The sequence below is a fragment of the Homo sapiens genome, chromosome 10, assembly GCF_000001405.40.
Source record: "Homo sapiens chromosome 10, GRCh38.p14 Primary Assembly".
Classification (NCBI taxonomy): Eukaryota; Metazoa; Chordata; class Mammalia; order Primates; family Hominidae; genus Homo; species Homo sapiens.
In genome coordinates this window covers 48,589,537-48,608,798 of record NC_000010.11, presented here as the reverse complement: position 1 = coordinate 48,608,798, position 19,262 = coordinate 48,589,537, and the positions used below count along the sequence as shown (strand labels likewise).

General features: G+C 49.7%; 1 protein-coding gene across 28 annotated transcripts in view, besides 6 other annotated features; it reads left to right on the top strand.

Annotated features, from left to right (window-relative positions):
* ARHGAP22 (Rho GTPase activating protein 22) overlaps nucleotides 1–19,262 on the top strand; it is a 226,435-nt gene that overhangs the window by 47,467 nt on the left and 159,706 nt on the right. For 10 of the 28 annotated variants that reach the window (NR_144644.2, NR_144646.2, NR_144645.2 and 7 more), the window contains exon 1: nucleotides 3,726–4,036. The exons of the other annotated variants lie outside the window; for them this stretch is intronic. Coding sequence is in view for 5 of the 10 variants with exons in the window: in XM_017016476.2 (XP_016871965.1) it covers nucleotides 4,003–4,036 (34 nt within the window). In the remaining 5 variants the exon portion in view is untranslated. Of the gene's footprint in view, nucleotides 1–3,725; nucleotides 4,037–19,262 lie in introns of those variants that run through there. 28 annotated transcript variants of the gene reach the window in all.
* Nucleotides 549–608: an enhancer, noted in NCBI's record as "active region_3332". NCBI's record gives its function as "activates an Ori minimal core promoter by ATAC-STARR-seq in GM12878 lymphoblastoid cells {active_cell/tissue: GM12878}" and the evidence as "EXISTENCE:reporter gene assay evidence [ECO:0000049][PMID:35858748]".
* Nucleotides 3,559–3,718: a silencer, noted in NCBI's record as "silent region_2357". NCBI's record gives its function as "represses an Ori minimal core promoter by ATAC-STARR-seq in GM12878 lymphoblastoid cells {active_cell/tissue: GM12878}" and the evidence as "EXISTENCE:reporter gene assay evidence [ECO:0000049][PMID:35858748]".
* Nucleotides 3,559–4,305: a biological region, named in NCBI's record as "H3K4me1 hESC enhancer GRCh37_chr10:49812539-49813269".
* Nucleotides 3,575–4,305: an enhancer, noted in NCBI's record as "H3K4me1 hESC enhancer chr10:49812539-49813269 (GRCh37/hg19 assembly coordinates)". NCBI's record gives its function as "activates a minimal SCP1, AML or CMV promoter by ChIP-STARR-seq in naive H9 embryonic stem cells {active_cell/tissue: H9 hESC(naive)}" and the evidence as "EXISTENCE:reporter gene assay evidence [ECO:0000049][PMID:30033119]".
* Nucleotides 9,044–9,544: an enhancer, noted in NCBI's record as "H3K4me1 hESC enhancer chr10:49807300-49807800 (GRCh37/hg19 assembly coordinates)". NCBI's record gives its function as "activates a minimal SCP1, AML or CMV promoter by ChIP-STARR-seq in naive H9 embryonic stem cells {active_cell/tissue: H9 hESC(naive)}" and the evidence as "EXISTENCE:reporter gene assay evidence [ECO:0000049][PMID:30033119]".
* Nucleotides 13,367–14,191: an enhancer, noted in NCBI's record as "OCT4-NANOG-H3K4me1 hESC enhancer chr10:49802653-49803477 (GRCh37/hg19 assembly coordinates)". NCBI's record gives its function as "activates a minimal SCP1, AML or CMV promoter by ChIP-STARR-seq in naive H9 embryonic stem cells {active_cell/tissue: H9 hESC(naive)}" and the evidence as "EXISTENCE:reporter gene assay evidence [ECO:0000049][PMID:30033119]".

The following is a 19,262-nucleotide window of genomic DNA, read 5'->3' as shown; positions in this document are numbered from 1 at the left end:
AACAACTGGCTTACAAAACTCCTGAAAATTTAACAATCAGTTATGTCATTGGTACTCTCCAGCTGGTCCGGCCCACTACTGGGATAGACAGAAGGAGAAACCAAAGTATGAGGGTGGGAGCTGCCCATGAAGACCTTGAGTGACATGCAAGGGAGCTGCGGCATCGACCTCCTGGCAGCAGGAACAGAGAGTGCACTAAGCAGGCAGGCTGGGGACCCAGGTGCTGGTGACCCCTGGGCAGGCATCACAAAGCCAGAGTAGCATTGTTTCTCTCCTCTGCCTCCAGAAGGGCTTACTCTGGTCCTCCATGCAGCTTCTGGAACAGGGGAAGCAGGGCTTTGCTATCTATATGTCGCCTTTGTGCAAATTAGAGGAAAGCTCCCTCCTCTAGCTGCACACCTCCCCACCTCCCTGTGCTGGAACACAGGGCTTTGCCAATGGAGCCCAAATTCAGCCTCCTTACCTCCCTCTACTGGACACCTTTGAGCAGTGCACAGACCATCCAACAGCACCTGTGGCTCTGGGTGGAGTTGTCTCAAGTTGGGGCTTGGGACAGATGCCCTTTCCACTTTCTGACCAGGAGATTTATTCGCAGATGTGCCTCTCCCTGAGAAGAATCTCCCTTAGGATGGCAGCCAGCAAACACCCCATGTGCAGTTGTCTTCTAAAGCTGTGGTTCTCAACCCTGGCTGAATCCCTAGAGGAGCTTTTACAACTCCCAATGACAATAAACACTGCAGACTAGTTAAATCAGAGCCACTGGGGGTGGGACACAGGAATTCACTGTCAGAGCTCCCTAATGTGCAGCCAAGGTTAGGAACTACTGTTTTGAAGGTATCCTGGCTCTGGGCCAGTTGATGCTGATTGGCAGCCATCCCACCAACAGGTGTGCATTTCAATAGATGCCTTCTGCCTTCCGGAGACTTCTGTCCATTCAGTGCTCAGCTTCTGTCCCTGAACAGCCCTTAGAAAATACTGAATGATTCAAGGCAGGAAGCCAGGTGAAGGCAGACCTAGGACCACTGCTGGAAAGGGGCAGCACCGTGCAGGCAGGCACAGGGCAGTGGAGAAGGAGGCATCTGTCTCCGCTGCTAAGCTAGACCTGTATCTCCCACTCCTTGGTCTGGGTGTCCCACTTATAAGTGAGAAGAGTAGGGCTGGTTCTTCAAATAAAAGCTTATAGGAGGTCACATGTTCAACAGATCCCCTTGCCCTGCCCTTGTCCCCACTCCATCCTCCCACAGGCCACCCCAGAGGAAGTGGGAGGCTCCCAGGGCCCTGCAGATCAGGGCTGGTAAACTTCAGGATGAAGGGGCTCCAATTCCTGCCTCTGTGGACCCTTCATCTCAGGAAGTACTGAGAGCACAGTCTGAGGTTGGAGAGGAGAAAAGAGCTACTTTGCCCACCTGCCCCATTCCCCCAGCCTTCTCAGACGCAGAACGTAGATCAACTCCTGCCCTTTTCCCAGCCTGACTTCTGGGGTGTGAGCCCAGCTCTGATCCCCAGAAAAGCAGGCGAGTGAACACAGTGACTTAATATCATCAGGGAAAACAGCTGCACAGGAAAAGCGCCTGGGGGTGGTTTCTTAACCAAAACAAGCGTGAGTGGACCCAGACTAAGTCTCAGGGCATTTCCTTGCCTCTGACTTGGATGAAGTGGTCCAGGCTGCATTACTCACAAATGGCTTCCTGATTGCTCAAGACATTGTCACAAGCCACAGGACTTGCCCTGTGACCCTGGTGTCGACATGAGATTTTCTAGCTTGATATTCTCCCCACTCCTCATGGGTGGCCCCTGTCCCAACCAGGGCTTGTACCTGGCCTTAAAGGAAAAGGAGGTCAGTTCTGTCATTCAGTGGTGTTTCTTGGATCTGCCCATGAAGCCAGAGTTTCCTGTGAGGCTTCTGGCCTGAGTCAGCCTGGGGCTCAGGGAGGGCGTACAAGAGGGGCAGTACAGGGACATAGATAAGGGCCCAGGGGAAGTGCTTAGTGGCTCATTCTGCTGGTGGAATCAGGAGAATTTCATTGGGGAATTGCCCAAAGAGGACAAGGCAATGTGAGGAAGGGCATTCCAGAGAGAGGGAACTGCACGTGCAAAGACACAGCTACATGTGCAAAAACACAGAGGCACAGGAGAGCAGGGGCTGCACATGCAAGAACAGGAACACACAGGAGCAAGGCATGTGCAAAGTCACTGGGGCACACAGGAGCAGGCGCTGTATGTGCATATGGTTGTATAGAGCATCGGCAAGAGATAGGTCAGAGAGGAGTCCATGGATGCTACCATGAAAGAACCTGGAATGTTATGCCAAGGTACTCATTCATCCCTCTGAGGAGTAGCTGAAGACCAGAACAAGTGACTTGATGCTGAGTAAGACAGCTTTGTGTCCATGGACTCTACCTTCTCCCACCAGCTTGGCCATGTGGCTCACCACATCCTGGTGAGTCTTTCTTCTTACTCTGCAGTCCTCCCCTCTCCATAGGGCACACTGTTCCCTAGGGAGGACTGCCACAGTGATCTCCTGGTGGGCTCTCTCCCTCTACAGCTGCTAAAGTTGATTACATACCAATAGGACACTTGGGGATCTGTGGACATGGGGCACTCGAGGGAGTGTGGAGGGTCAGATGGAGGCTATGGCCATCTGAGCAGGGGAGGGCATTGTTCAAATCCCTCTTTACCAGCTACTGAAAGGGTCACACAGTTCTCAGGCCCAAATAGCCAGACCCAAGCTCAGATGCCTAAGAGGATACACGGAGTGATTATCAGGGGCACAGAGGCAGGTCACCGTTCAGCAAGTTCATCGGGGGCTCAAGCCAGGAGCTGTTACCATGCAGTGATGGGAATAGGGTGGAGAGGCTGGCATCACAGAGCAGCAGGAGCTGTAGACACAGCCCTGGGTTCTGGTGCCCGCCCTGCTGCTCGGTACTGTATGACTTTGGGCAGGTGATTCAACCTTGCTGTGCCTTATTTTCCAGATTTGAAACGCTATATATATAGCACCTGCTTCAGGAGTTTGAGAGTTAAATGAGATATTGAATGTAAAGCACCAGCCTCAGTGCCTGACACATAGTAGGTGCCTAATAAATGATAGCTATTGTTATGATTGCATTCCTTGGGTAATTTTTAGCATCTTGAGGCTGGATTCCGCTCCTCACAAAGCCCCAGTATACACCCTTTAAAATTATGCCAGCATCAAACAGAAACATGGCAATTAGCAGAGATTCACTATTCAATTCAGATCTTCCTATGAAGAGCCCTGAGTTAAGTGCTTCCTGCCCTCTTATTCCTGTCACCTTACTAAAGAGGCATAAATAGTATCCCTAACAGGCATCTTCCTGTTGGGAGTCTCCTGAGGAGTTTACATTGCCGGGCTGCTTGCTCCTTCCCAGACACACCTGACTTTCAACACGTAAAACAGTGAGCTCATAAGCGGGTCCCCGTGGATTGGGCTCTGGGGTGGGGGGGGGGTCTCGGCTACCTTCTCACCAAAGCGCTATCCCACCCGGGCTTGGCAGGGAGTGCGGCTCCCAGGCGGCGGCTGAAAGGCGCATTTCTTCCAGCCTCAGCAAAGGATGGCCGGAACCCCAGTACCCTCTCCCGGGCCAGGACCGCGCCCCGCGTCTCTGGCTGGCCCCGCCCCTCTCGGCCCCGCCCCGCCCCCGCGCTCAGCTTGGACAGCCACGCGTGCGCCCAGGCCAGGCGGAGGGACTGCCCCGCCCTGGTCCAGTGATTGATCAGCAGTGATTACTGAGGCTTTAATGGTCCGCTTGGATGGGAATTAATTCTGGGATGGATAAATAATGCATCGAGGTTTATGTAGTCCAAGGCGAGCCGTCCGTCCGGAGCCAGGAGAGGTAGCCGAGGGAGCCTGACGGGTGACGCCAGCGGCCACGGGGCCCCGAACGAGCAGGACATGAGGGGCGACTAGGCGCGAGGACGAGCAAAAGCAAGTGGATGACAGCATGAACGGCCCTGCGGGGCTGGCCGGACGGCTGCAAGAACATGCTGAGCCCAAAGATCAGGCAGGCCAGGAGGGGTAAGTCCAACTTTCTGGGGTTTCTCTGGGCACCGCATGTGCCTCTTGGCAAACGTGCGCGGACACTTGGCCAGCCGTCACGCCATGTGTCACATGGGGCGGGCGTTCTGGGACCATTGCCGCTGAATAGTGAGCATCCTCCTGAGGAAGTGCCCTTCCTCGTGAAACTCCTGGGCTGGGTGGGGACACGACCTGAAGTTGCAAAAGGGCGGTGGCCGGCTTAGTGCCCCAGTGGGTGTGCACACTTCGCCCCACATTCCACATTTTACAGAGGCCCTCGGTCGCTCCAGGTGACCTGGTGGCAACTTTAAGGAAACTTTGCTTCTTTACTAAAAAGGAAATGCCCAAGATTTGCCCTGTGGCCAACACAGAAGCACCCCTTACCAGGGAAGGCCATGCCCTGGCTTCTAGAGACAGCTGGGTGCAAGCGAGGGTCTTCGTTCCCGCTGCTTTGCAGACAGTATTTCCTCAAGCAGGCCAGGGGCAGGCAGGCTTTCCTGCCAGAACACTCAGAAAGCTGCAGGGTCTGGGGGCAGGACGGGTGGATGCGGGAGCAGACTCAGACCAGCAAGAGATGGGGGTCAGGAGAGTCCAGGACTGGGCTAGCCAGCCTGTGTCCAGCCAGCGACCCAGCACAGTGACCTGAAGACTTGGCCACTGTATGGGGCTAGAGACAGCATCTCCATGGACAACAACTTCTTAGCCACGGAAAGTGTCATTTTGAATGAGAACATCTGTCTTTTACAAAAATAGAATGTGTCTTTTCAGGTGGCCAGTATCTGGGAGGGCTGAGCTCCTTTTGTAAACAATGAAGTGGAGGATGGGTCTTTGGAGGTGGATGGAGCATTTGCCTGGGAGCTTGGAAACAGTTTGTGTCTCACCAGGTGTTTGCAGCGGGGGGCCTCCAGCCTCCTGTGGATTCACAGGGAACACACCCATCTTATTAGCACACTGCAAGCACTTGGATGATTTTCCTGGATGGGACCAGCCTTCCAGTGTGTTCCACAGACGTCAGGACCCCTCTGTGGGGTGCTTTCGCATGGGCTGAACCCTGTGTACCCCAATGGGCAAAGGAGGAACTTGCATGGCTCTGCTGAGGAGGGGGCAAGTCTAGTGATGACCCAAGGGATAGGACAAGCCAGATACCTCTGCGAGAGCTTAGTTCCACCCTCCCACTCCTGTGTAATGAGCTGGCCACTGGCCACATGTGGCTACTAAGCACTTGGCATGTCACTAGTCCAAATTGAGAAAAAGACACACCAAATTTTGATGATTTAGTACAAAAAAAGAATGTACAATATCTCATTAATAATTATTTTACTGAAATGACAGTATTTTGGATATATTGGGTTAAATAAAATCTATTATTAAAACTAATTTTACCTGTTTTACATTCTTTTACTATAGCTACTAGAACATTTACAAGTACATATGTGACTCATATTATATTTTTTATATTTCTATTGGACAGTGCTAGTAAGAGACCAGTGCTTCAGCAAAGGGGCTTACAGGCAGCCTGTCTTTGAAATCCAGGATTTCTCATAAATGTTTGTTTTAAGTCAATGGTTCTCAACCAGGAGCAATTTGCCCCACTAGAGAACATTTGGCATTGTTTGGAGTATTTTTGGTTATTCCAACTGAGGGGTGCTACTGGCATCTAGTGCGTATAGGCCAGCCATACAGCCCTCTTCCAGTCCTCAGTGTTCCATGAGGCTTCCACCATAGGGCTTTTGCACATCGTTCTTTCCCCTGAAATGCCTCCCACATTCACATGTGCGCACATGCATGCCTGTATGTGTGTGCACATGCGTTCATGCATACAAACATACACACACACCTTAATTCCTATTCACCCTCCAGTTATAGTATAGTTCAAGTGTTGCCAGCCAGGGAAGTCTTCCCACACACCCCAGTCCAGGCTGGATCCTCTGCTCCATCTCTCCTTTTCTTTATGGTATTTACCATAGGTTGCAGTTGTATACTCCTGAGTGTGACTGATTGGTGAATATCTGTCACTTGCATTGCTCCATGAGCTTCGTGAAAGCAGGAACCATTTCTGTTCGGGGACATCATTATACCCCCAATGCCAGGTACCTGGTGGACACTCAACCTGTGTTTTTTGAGTGAGTGGATGAATAGCTGGATAGAGGAGAAAGCATTTGCCTGGGTGGCTGGAGCACTGTCTCTACCCAAGCTGGCCCGGTACTTAGGAAATTTGGCCTCATCTTTCACTGACTCATATGTTGCAAATATTTTCCCAATTTGTTGCTTGCCCTTTATTTTTATATTAGAGTGGGTTTTTTTTCTAGATGTACCTGTTTTTAACTCGTATATATTTTCCTTTTAGAATTTCTGTCTTTGTTTGCAATATTTCAAAATAAAATTGTTGATGCTATTAAGGAGGCTCCTTCTTTTAAAGGAAATCATCAGACTGATGGGCCAAGTTATAGGAGCTTTAACCATCTCCTGTAGCAGGAGTGTCAATGTCTCAGGAGCCTTGATGAATGTTCAGAGCCTGGTCAATACTTTGGGGGTGGGGAGAGAAAGCTCTATTAATATGATGAAGTACCTTCAATGGCCTTATTCTTGTGATTGTCCCACAAGAAAGTAAACCAACATTTATTGTGCACCCATGCTCCAGGCACTTTTGTTGTACCTCATTTAATTCTCATGACTACACTATAATGTGATATCATTGTTACCATTTTGACAGATGTAGAAGAATCATGGTCGCCCAGCCAATAAATGTGGGATCTAAATTTGTCTGTCCAATGCTAAGGCCTCTGCCTTCTCTCTAACCCAACACTATCTGAAGACCTCTGCACCTGGCCCTGTACATCTCCATGAGAGCTGTAGATTATTTCAGTGATAAAATGCAATGATATTTTTAAGAAGGTGCATCTAAACACATGGAGATTAGATCTAGACAACTCATAGAATGTTTGAGGTTGGATTATTGATACCTAGCAGAAAACTAAGCAAATAAAAAACAAGGCAATTATGAACTCCACAGAAAACAAAAGTGATTCATGAAAGAAAAATTATTATCATATATAACATACCTCAAGTGGGACTAGCAATTAAACGGTGCTAATAATGGAAATTCTGTTGTTAATCTAACCAAAATTTTAATATAACTAATTGGGAGGGTGGAGTGGGTGCTTATGGATGGTGGGGGGAAAGGGTGTAAAAGAAACAAAATCTTCATCTTCTATAGTAAGAAGTTAATAAATAACACTTAAAAGGAAAAAATCAAGAAGTGGTAATAAATAAATACTATCTGGAAACATAGAAGTAATACCAAAAGAACCAATGACAAATGTTGAAAGTGGCTGCCTCTGTGGGGTGGGGAATGGAAGTAAAGGGATAGGACACTCCTGGGTTTTGCCCCAAGGCTGCAGGACTACTTGAAAAGTGGTTAGGGAATCACAGCCCAGAGGTCAACTGACCTCATACCTGCTCAGACTGGGGGATCCTTCAGAGCCCTGGAAGATTCTGCCCTTCAGGGACACTCATAGGGTTAGCAGGCCTCCTGGGATTGCTTAGTTATGAATGTTGTGGCTCCCAGGATGTGCCCTTGGCGATGCTGTGATGCCCCTGCCCAGGTTTGTCAGGTACCATGATGGCTCCCTATGACTCTCACCACCTTCATGGCTCTGAGAGTGAAGCAGCTAAGGAACAGTCACCTAATTAGGTGACACAGCATCTGGCTTTGCCTGATTCAGAGAGAGGACAGAGGTCTAGCAGAATGGTCAGTAAGATATGCTGAAGAAGGGGCGTATTAGAACTGCTCATGGAAGGGTGCATCCAGGCTGTGGGCTGGAGCTTAGCCAGGGACTAGAGGCCTCAGAAGAGCCTGCTCTGGAGAAGGAGGACCAAAGGGAATCACCCAGCAGTCTCTACTTCCAGGCCAGGCCCTGGCACCACTGTTTGTAGCTGATAACCTTCCGTGACAGCAGAGGTGCCCAAGCCTGGACATCCTCTGCCACTAGCCAGGTACTCCACCCCATGGAGAGAACCAAGCTGTCTCTTGTCAGTCCATTCTAAAAATTTGCTCAGAAGTGAAATGAAGTTGCAGAGGCCCTCAGATCAGCAAAGGGTCCAGGACAAACCCTGGGGAACCTGATTCGAGGAAATAAAAGTTTGCAATTTGGGGATCTTTGAACAAGAGTGGCCTCAAATCACACTGCAGCCTGATTTTTTTTTTTTTTGAATACTCCTCTGGGATTTTCATTGTTTATTTCTAAAATTTTTAACATTTTCTTATTGAGGCATAATTTACAGAGTAAAATGCACAAATCTTAAGTGTTCTCTCAGTGACCAGCCTGAAGATCAAGATATAAAGCATTTTCCTTAAGCCCAGAAAGTTTTCTCCTGTGTCTTCCCAGTCACCCTGGCTCGTCTCCCAACCAGAGTGACACTTTTCTGATTTCTAGCACCCTAGAGTGATCTCACCTATTCTTCAATTTTATATAAATGCAATCAAGGATATGACTTTCCACTGTTAATACATTAAAGGCCACAAACAGTCCTTCCACTTTCCTCTTTAAGGAAGGAAGGAAAGTGAGAGAATCTCTGTTGAGTGTTTAGAATGTGCCAGATGCAAGCTGGACCTTCCATTACATGCAAATGTCCTATTTTAATCTTTACACCAACTCTGTGAGACAAGGGAGAAAACAGAGGCAGAATAATATAAGTAAAATGCTCAAAATTGCACCACTAATAAGAGCAGAAGCAGCTTAAACACAAGACTCTGAGATCTGAGAAGCCTCCCTCCCAAATCTAGTGCTGCACAGAGGCAGATGGAGGCTGACGTGTCACTGAACAGCTCATGCCCCCAGGGATGCCAGCAATACAAAGCTGTCAGATCCTGTCCAACCCTCACAAGCACCTGTCTCCATGGCAGGTACGCACAATGCCATCACTAGGTGCAGGGGCCAAAATGAAAGGTGGAGACAGGCCACCCACTCTGTGCTGGCCTGTCCCAGATTTGTTCCCCTGAAAGTCAGCCTGGCCAAGCAGCAGGCTAGTGGGAAAGGGGAGGGGGAACTGATGGGCCACAGAGCAGTGGGCACCCTGTGGAGTTAGCCCTCACCAGTGGTGCCAGGTGTTGGCCATGGATACAAAGGTGTGTGGTGGGCTCAGATGGGCCTGGCCCCTGCCACCTGGTGATGTTGAGGAATCCCAGATTTGGCTGCTATTTTACTTCAACTCCCATATTTCTGGGAAAAAAGATTGGCTATTCCAAACACTGCAGGCTCGGGTAGCTTCCCCTCCCTGCTCACATGAGGAGTCAGAACTGATTTAACTCTTCATGCACTTACCAAGTGCTTAATAATCGCAACAACCACACTAATGACTGTTGAGCTCATGGGACATGCTGTCAAGCAAGCACAGCACATGAAATGACTTTACTTGTGTCCTCCAGTGTCCCCACGTGGCAGTCCCTGGGTTAACTCTGGGCATGCCTGGATAGAGGTGCCCCAGGGTCACTTTTGTTTGCAACATATAAGACCAGGTCAACATTTCTCGGTCCATGGTAGCAGGCTTTGACCTACCTCTTTGAAAGCATGCTTCCTGGTTTGTCCCTCACTTTAGAATGTCACATCCCGTGTGGCTTGGAGCCCTGTTGGAACTTCCTGCTTGAAGTCCTATTGCACCTAGCATGTGCAGTCACATGCATTATCTCCCTTCATCCTCAAAAGATTCCCATTGAGAAAAAGACCACTATTGCCCCATTTTTCGGATAAGGAAATTGAGTCCCAGAAAGGATAAAGAACTTGCCAGCCAGGAAGGGTACCCAACCAGGAAGGGGCACTGCTGGGATCAAGAACCCAAAGGCTTCTGAACATATAGTGCGTGCCTTCACATTTACATGCCAGGCTTGGATCCAGGCAGCAAGAGAGGAAAGCTGCCCCAGGTTGTGAAAGCCTCTGTGCTAAGGCCCAGAGGTGGCAACCTGGGGCAAGCGGTGTGCCCCTGTGGTGGCTGCAATGCAGGAAGGCAGTGGGAGGACAAGGTGATGTGAGGGAATGAGCCTGTCCCACATCCAGGCAGGGTTTTAGACAATGGAGTGGCGTGCCTGTCTGGAGCCTTAGTCAATGATGCAGGCTGCAGTGGGGGCAGCAGGTGCGCAGGGAGTGGCCCTGAGGGCAGGGAGAGAGGGTAAATGCTAGTGGGAGCAATGGTGTTTCCCGTCTGCCACCTGCAGAGAAGGAGAGGGAGACACAGGGGCCTTTGTTGAAACAGATCTATGGAGAGCTGGGTTCCTCTGCTTCCAGACACTCTTCCCCCAGTGCCAGCTGTGTGCTGGGCAGCAGCTGGCACCTCCCCGCCCTGCAGAGTTTGTAAGTACCAGAGTGTTTCAGCACCACAAGCTGAGAACAAACACTCCCAGCCACCACCCTCCACCCAGCCCTTAGGCCACCAGTCCATCTGTTGCTGCCTGAGGTTCATGCCAGGAGATGAAGGTGGCTGTTTGTACCCAGAAGAGGGGCGCTGCAAACTCAAGCCTCTTCCCCCACCAACCCTCATGTTCTCCTTCTTCCCAGATAACTCCAACCAACTGATGGGAAAACAGAGTTTCTCTTCCCACGGAAGATGTTAGACATCCATAAGTGCCCCCACCTGACCAGTGCTCTTAGACACTCAGAACACACAGTGCTGCTAGGTGCTGGGCTGGAGCAGCTCCAAGCTGGTCTTGTAGCCCCAGACAGCTGGAGAACTGGCCATGACCTTATTGTTTGAAGGAGGGGATAAATGATTTATTTGCAAGACAGGCCTGAACTGAGTTAGGCGTGGGCCAGGAGGCCACCTTGGACTCCACTATCCAAGGCAGCAAGGTAGTCAGGATCCTGCCCTGACTCTGCTGAAATCCTCACCAGCCCCAGTGATTACTTAACCAAGGGTAGAGAATATATTGATCTAAGCTAATGGCTCATAGGCAGGCAGAAAATGAAATTTATAATCGACATGGAATTATATTGATTTTACCGATCCCAGGCTCTTGGTGAATGGCCTGCTTATCTGAACAGAGCAGAAACAGCAAGCACCTGGGGTCCTGGGCCATCAGCCCCTGAACAAAGTCCAGAAGAGAGGAGAGAGGCTTCCAAGGGGCACAGCCTGCGGGAGCAAGAAACAGGGCCTACACTGTTCACTCAGCACTTAACTGCTCTCAAAGAAAATTGCCCATTGATTTCATCCTCACCACAGTCTAGGAAGCAGCAGGATCCGTATCTGGCCCCCATTTATAGACAGAAACCTGAGGCTCTAAGAGGCTAAAGGGCCTCGGGACTCAGAATCCTGTGCATCTTCCATGACCTCCCACTGCCTCTCCTCACCCACTGCTAAGCTACAGTTTCACTTTTCCACTCTCCTGCTTGCTGCTTCTCTGATTATGGGCAGAGAATCAGTAATCTCATGCCCTTTAGCTTTTCATGTGTGGAAACAGGCCGTGGGTAGGAGAATCCTGTTGGCAGATTTCTTCCAACCCAAGCAGATCATCTACAGAGGCACAAAGTCTCTTGGATTTGATGAGTTCCCATCCTCTTCAAACTTGAGGATTCCTGCCTCACATTCGCAGACATGAGACACATGTTTATGAAGGAGAGGTGCATGTCCAGCCAGAGGTGTCAGCAAGGTCCCAGGGGCAGCATAAGGGATGGAAGTCAATCATTCTGCGTTGAGAGCCTACCAGAGGGGTCTTCATACCTTAGGAAGTAATTGCACTGACACTGATGCTTCAAAAGTGAGTCAGGATTCACCAGCAGAGTCATGAGTCCAGGGAAAGGGAAAGGCAGACATACAGGGGTGGAGGTGTGGCACAATGGCCCATGCGGGACCTGTCAGCTTGGAGAGACCCAGGTGTGTGGTGTGAGAGGGAGGAAGCTGGGCACCAGCTCACAGAGGCCCTCCACATCACAGCCACATCAGACCCATGTCTCTGATGGCTAAGGCTGTAGCGAAAACTGTCTACACCCTGTAAAGGGGGCACGGTCTCTTCCAAGGAGCCACGAGAGAGACACCAGAATGGGTTGAAGGCAGAAGTTGGAAGAGGTCCAACAGGCTGCTTTTTCTCAGAGGGTGGGTTTTCATTAGTCTGGCAAGGGCTTAGGGTATGGTCTCTCCTAAGACAGGAATGTGGGTCCTATGAGAGTCAGGGTGAAAAGCCTGGAAGTGGAGCCATACTTCCTGGTCTGGACTCACCCTCTCACTTTCTGCATCTTCCTGTTCCCGTGCTGGGCACACTCCACCTCTCAGTGAGGCTCACCTCATTCATTCATCCCTCCTCACCTCACCCCGGCTCCCTGCCCCCTCCAGCCAGCCCCACCCCAAGCCCGACTGTCTCACTGCTGCTGCCTTCACACTCCCCTCTCCCTTTATAGATGACAGCAAGATCTGGTGTTGGGGCATCTGTCCCCCGTTAGCTCTGCCAGGGCAGGTGTGTGTCTTGCGTCTCCATATGCAGTGGCTCTCACAGGTGGGCATACGGGAGGCCCCATAATCTCAAGAATGGATAAATGAACACCAGATCCGCTTGAATCTAGGGCTGCATCCTGCATGGAAGTAAAGAGCAAACACTTCGGGTGTCTCCCGGCTTCCCACTGCCCTTGCTGAATACCAGCCTCAGCTGAGCCAGGAGGCAGACCCAGGAAGCATTGATTAAAATAACTTTCAAGAATGCAATCTTTTATATTGATTGTTAAATCATTAAAGTATTCACTATGAAAAAAAAATCCAAACTCTCTAATCTACCTAATCACTACTTAAAAATTAATATTTTCACTCCTGGGGGCAGGAATGGATAGGCTGTGCACCTTATTGGCTCTAGTTCTTCATGCCGAGGCGAGGCTCATTAGGAGGGCCTGGCTCATTCTCTAGATCCCCTTAGATGGAAACCTAGGAACAAACAGGTGGCCAATTAGGGCCAGGAAGAATGCAAGTCACAAATTAAGCTGGGTGTAGTAGCTCATGCCTGTAATTCCAGAAGCCGAGGCAGGAGGATTACTTGAGGCCAGGAGGTTGAGACCAGCCTGGGCAACATAGCAAGACCCCATCTTTACAAAAAAAAAATTAGCCAGGCATAGTCATACACACCTGTAATCTCAGCTACTCAGAAGGCTGAGGTGGGAGAATCATCTGAACCTAAGAGTTTGAGCCTGCAGTGAGCTATGATCATGCCACTGCACTCCAGCCTAGGTGATACAGCAAGACTCTATCTCAAAAAAAAATAAACAAATAAAACTATACACATATATATAAACAAGTTTTTAAAAGTAGGGGCACTCAAGAACCATTAGGTAATAAATCATCTGATGCTTGTGCACAATTCCCAGGACGGTGTGGGACCCGGAAGGAGGTCCCCTTTGCCCTTGGCAGCAAATTGCATTAACTTGATGAAACCATCTCTTCCCGGCCCCTCCAGAGTGCCCTTCCAATACCCCATCTCTCTCTCCTCAATCAATCTTTTGGCTCAATACTTACCCTTTAAATCAATTCAGCTCTGAGATCCATTTTGCTCTTTTCCCAGCCCGGCTTTAAAATCTCATTGACTTCTATAAATCAATTGTGTTTTAGCTCTCTTGTCCTACAGCCACTTCTCCATGCTCTAGGGGCTGCACTCACAGAGCTGCAGATAGGAAACATCCCTGGCCCACGGCAGGGTGCCTCACCCCAGGGAGTATCTCCAGAGCTGAGAGCCCAGCAGCTGCTCAAAGGCACAAGTCTATTCAAAGGCTGCCACAGTCTATTCAAAAGGTCCTGAAAACAATGAATATGTTCAGTGGGGATCTCCAAACCAAAGCAGACCCTGAGATAAGGATTCACATGCAGTAATCTATTAACGAGACCCTCAGGGGACACAGTTGGGGGGGAGGGGGAGGGGGATCCGAAAGCAGGACATGAGCAAAGTCCTGTTACCCTTTCAGATGTAACAGGAAAGGGAGGTCTCAGCCTGAGCCCCCAACTGAAGAGTGAAGTACACCCCTGTACCTAGCTAGAAATAAGGTTGGTTAGAGGTTTTTAAGCTCCTAAGTTGGGCGAGGGGTGGATGATATAAACTCCTAGGCACTCCCAGTCTTCCCAGTACATGGGCAAAACAGGCTCCAGTAGCCCAAGGCCGGTCTTCCAAAACCTGTCAGCAATCCTGAGAAACCACCACCCACCCCTGGGAAGACTGTTGGAAGGACAGCACATTTGGGGGTGGGGAGGGAAATAGACACAGGAAAAGGGATTCAAGAGAATTTGGGCAGAGCTCCATCATGATCCATATGATCTCAGAGAGCAATGTCTGAGCTTTGGCAGCTGCCAGGTGCTCTTGTCAGTGCAGGGCTCGGCCCATGAGTGATCCACACACCCTCACTGAGCCCCTGGTTGGCAAGAGAGAGACGGGGTGGAGGAGGCAGGCTGGAGTCCCAGGCTCACCCAAGCAGCTCACCTGCAGAGAGGGACCAGTGTGCTCACTCACAGTTCCCTGATGGTGGTCCCATGGGAGGACCACAGATAGGCTTGGTCCAGGCTTCCACCAGCATCCTGGCCTGTTCGTTGTGGGCTGATCGGTGTTAGTCTCTCCCACTAGCTTGGGAGCTCCATGCAGGCAGAGGCTCTGACCTTCTTGCTTGCTGTGGTCCAGAGCCTAGTGTGATGCTTGTCTCAGATAAATACTCATAAGCATGTATCAAATAATGATCCTTTAATTGCTATTTTAGAACTCCTGTAAGGGGATCCAGCTCCACTCCAAAAGAGCTCTTTCATTTAAAACTTTTAATTGTAATTTATATAATAAAAAAATTCATTCCCTTCATGAAATGTACAATATAACAGCTCCGGGCTTCCCTTTAGGAACATTATCACCATTCTAGGTGGGATATGTTCCTTCCAGACCTAACTGTGTACAAACACGAGCACCCGCTGAGAATACATTGCAATGTCTTTTGTTTAGGATTTTTGTTTTTCTTTCCTTTTTATATAAAGTGGTTCCCCATATCCACAGTATCGTGTTTGCAGTTTCAGTTACCCATGGACACCCACAGTCCAGAAATAAACGATTCATAAGTTTTAAATTGTATGCTGTTCTGAGTAGCGTGGTGTCCCACTCTATCTTGCCCAGCACATGAATCCTCTCTTTGTCCAGCATCTTCACACTGTCTAAGCTACCTGCCTGTGGTCACTTAGTAGCCATCTCAGCTGTCAGATGCACTGTCGCTGTATCACAGTGTTTGTCTTCCAGTAACCCTTACTTTACTTAATAATGGCTCCAGAGCACAAAAGTGTGGTGCCAATTTAGTAATTAAACTTTGTCATAGATATGTATGTATAGGAAAAACTGTATACAGGGTTCAGTACTACCTGCAGTTTCAGGCATCCTCAGGGGTCTGGGAACATCCACTGGGGGTCTAAGAATATATCCCTGGCTTGAATAAGGGGAGACTACTGTAGTTTTATATTTTGTAAATTGTTCTGCAACTTACTTTCTTCCACTTCTATAATATAATTGAAGTAAATGTTGAGGTAAAGCAGGAAGGAGAAATGGAGCAGTGGGGGAAGCAGTTTCTAAAGAGTGATAAGAGAGGTGTCGTTGAAAAAGTAATGTTTCAGTAAAGAGTGAAGGGGCTGAGAGAGGAACCCTAGGGCATCCGGGAGGGCCCAGAGAGCAGAGGGCATATGGCAGGTGTAGAGCCAGATGCTGGGCACATGTCTGTAGGAACAGCAGGAGACAGTGCGGCCAGGACAAGAGAGGATAAAGGAGGCCGAGAGGCCGTGTGGCCGGTCCCCAGGACCCTCATAGGCCATAGTGTCAGATCTGACTGTTGCTCTGAGCGAGCTCAGGAACCTGCAGGGTTTTCACAGGGCGCAATGTGATCTAAGTCCCACATTTAAGAACTCTTGCTGGCTGCCCTCTTTTGAAGAGGCTGCAGCAGTAACTCGGGTGAGAAACAAAGCAGCTGGGAGCAGGGAATATCTGAGGATGGGGTATCCACTGGCTGAGATGGGGGAACCCTGGGAGGAGTGGGTTCTGGGGCAGGGAAAGACCAGGAGTTCTGCTTTGGACATGCAGCATTGGCAGGGTCAAGGCCAGGGTTGAGCCACATGAGGGCCTTCTGTGCATGGATGGTGTCCAAACCCATGAGGCAGAGATATAGACAGACATGGGGGCCAAGGACTAGCCCTGCACACTCAGCACTGAGAGGTCAGGAAGACGGGGAGATGGGAGTGACAGCCGGTGAGGGAGGGGAGAAGCGGGGGAGTATAATCTTGGAACCCAGGAGTACAAAGTGGTCCTGGGACTGGGATGGATCAGCCTCACAATCAAGTGTAGCCAAAGGGCCAAAGAATGGGAGGACTGACTGGACGCTTGGGTTGAACAATGTGAGAGTCATTGCCAACGTGGTAAGAGCAGTTCTGGTGGGACGGATGTTGGGGAAGCCTGACTGAAGCTTAACAGAGAACAGAAGCCAGGTGCGGTGACAGATACCCGTAGCCCCACCACTTGGGAAGCTGAGGATTGCTTGAGCCCAGGAGTTCGAGTCTAGCCTAGGCAATGTAGTGGTGAGACTCTGTCTAAAAGAGAGAGTGAGAGAAAACAAGGCAGGAATTGGAGACAAGGATTGAAGACAGTGAGGTGCTGGATAAAAGAGAAGCTAACCATGTTAGCTTGTATATTTTGATCTCATTCTTTTCAAGTCTTTTCTAATGTGAATATAGCACAGTTTGTCCATTTTCTTACTAACGGGCACTCAGGTTTTTACATTTTTAGATATCAATGGGCATGCTTGATTGTGACTACCCATGCATTTGTAGTTCTCTCTGCAGGACAGAGGTGAGCAGCACAATTGTTAGATTGCAGAGCATGCATGTTTTGTTGTTGTTGTTGTTGTTTTGGGGTTTTTTTTAGACAGGGTCTTGCTCTATTGTCCAAGCTGGAGTGCAGTGATGCAATCTCGACTCACTGCAACCTCTGCCTCCCAGGCTCAAGGAATCCTCCCACCTCAGCCTCCTGAATAGCTGGGACCACAGGGGCACACCACCATGCCCAGCAAATTTTTGTATTTTTTGTAGATATGAGGTTTCGCCATGTTGCCCAGGATGCACGTTTTTAATTTTAATGAATACAGCCCAATTACTCTCTATATGTGACTTAGGATTACTCACAGCCTCGCCAACATGTGATATCGCCAAACTTTAAAAAAAAAGTACCTATCTAAATGGTACACAGTGCGGTATCTTATGGCTGTAGTCTGCATTTCCCCTCTCACTGCTGAAGTTCAGCATACCCATACATGCTGGTAGTTATTAGTATTTCCTCTCTCTCCCATTGCATATTCACTTCTTTAATTTATTCAATTCTGAGAAATGAAGGATCCCTCCTGGATGAGAAAATGGCGTGAAATGGTTCCTCCTCTGCTGGCCCTGTGCCTCGGGGTGACTTCGCGTTGCACAGTCCTTCTGCTCTCCTCTAACGATGAATGAACCTTTGGGTACTTGAATTCCATTTGCCTACACCCAGGGTTTTGACCTCTTGTGTTTGTGTTAACGTGTTTTCATCTCAGGCTTCATTTCTTTTTGAGTCTGCGGGCTCGCAGTCACCCTCCCTCTTAGCCTGGCGCTCCTCCTCTCTGGAGGCTCTGAGCTGAAGCACTTAAGGGCTACTCAGGCTCCATTTGCAGTCTCAGAACTGTAGTGTCCATAGTGAGCAAGACCAGCCAGGGCTTGAATCCCGGCTCTGCCACATAAGAGCAATGTTGTGTGACCTTGAGGAAGCTCTTCTCTCCTCTGAGCCTCAATTCGAACATCTGAGAAATCAGGGTTGCGCTGAGAAATAAGTGAAATTATTCACTGCCGGGCCCTAGCTCTGGCAGTCACAGGCTCTTGTGAACGTCCATCCCTTCCACTGCCCACCCACCCCAGCCCTACCCTGCCCATGCGCTGAATTTCTTCTTTCTCTCATCTCACCCCAAGAGGAAGCAATACCCCCATGACCACCTCCAGAGTCCCCAGGACGGCCAGGCCAGAGTCATAGAGCAAGCGCCAAGTTTACCATCCTCAGTGACTGGGAAGGCGTGCAGCCCACGTCCTCCCTCACAGGCCAGATGGCCCGGCACAGCGCGACCTGTAGTCCTGACCAGGCCACTCAAGGGTTTATGGGCACCCTGGCACAAATGCAGCTCAGGGCTGCAGCAATATAGAGGCATGGGATGGGGACGTTGTCAGAATGAGCACAAGGAGGGCTATGGGGAACAGGTAGACTCTCCAATCCCAGCAGGTAGGGCCTCAGCTGGTGGGGCACTTCCGAGCAGAGGAAGGCCTCATTCTTGCTACAGGGCACCTCCTTGCCCCCACCACAACCGAGGACAGTGTCTTGCCATCTCATGCTAACCTCTGACCCCCTGAGCTCAGGCTCCACATCCTGTCACCTCCCAGGAAGCTCCCTCTTGACTCATCACCCTACCTGACCCTCACCCACAGCCTCCACATCTGCCAGTCCAAATGCACTTAAACCGGCTCGGGTCCCTCCCGTTCTAGCAAGGGGCACCCTGCCCCTCCATACCACTCTCCCCTCTTCTCTCCTGCTTGCAGGGAACATTCCTGAAAGAGTTCTCTAGGCTTCTTTGCTGTACTCCCCCTCCTGTCACCCCTACCCTCTCTCTGTAAAGTGGCCCTTGTGTACCCTCACCCCTCCACCCATGACACTGCGACCTTAACTCTCTTCCCTTGGCGTGGTTTACCTGCTTTTGAAAATTTTGTTTATAATTGACACATAATAATTGTACATGCCCGTGGGGTGCAGTGTGGAGGGAGCTACACACAGGAAAATCCTGTGCTGTGGAAGGGTAGCGATTGCCAGGCTGGGGCTGGATTTTCCTCTGTGTGTAGTAAATACCATAACTACTTCTGTGAAAAGAGTAAGATTTTTTAGAACTGTGTGTAGGAAGATCTGTGTGTAGCTCCCTTAGTAGCTGCATATCTATTTTGGAGAATCTTGTGGAAGGCAGGAGCTAAGAGTCAGGAAGTAGCCCAGGCAAGGGATGGCTATATACAAATCAGTTCAGTAAAGGGGAGATGAAAAGAAGGCAGAATGCACTGAGAGAATCTTCAGATTTGGAAACTAAGGGACTGTAGGACTTGACGGGGAGGGATTTGTCTGAACAAGTCCAAGCTGTTAAGTCTGCTTGGTCATGGAGCCCTGGATGAGAATGGGGAGGAGAAGTGGGTTGGGGAGAGACATGTT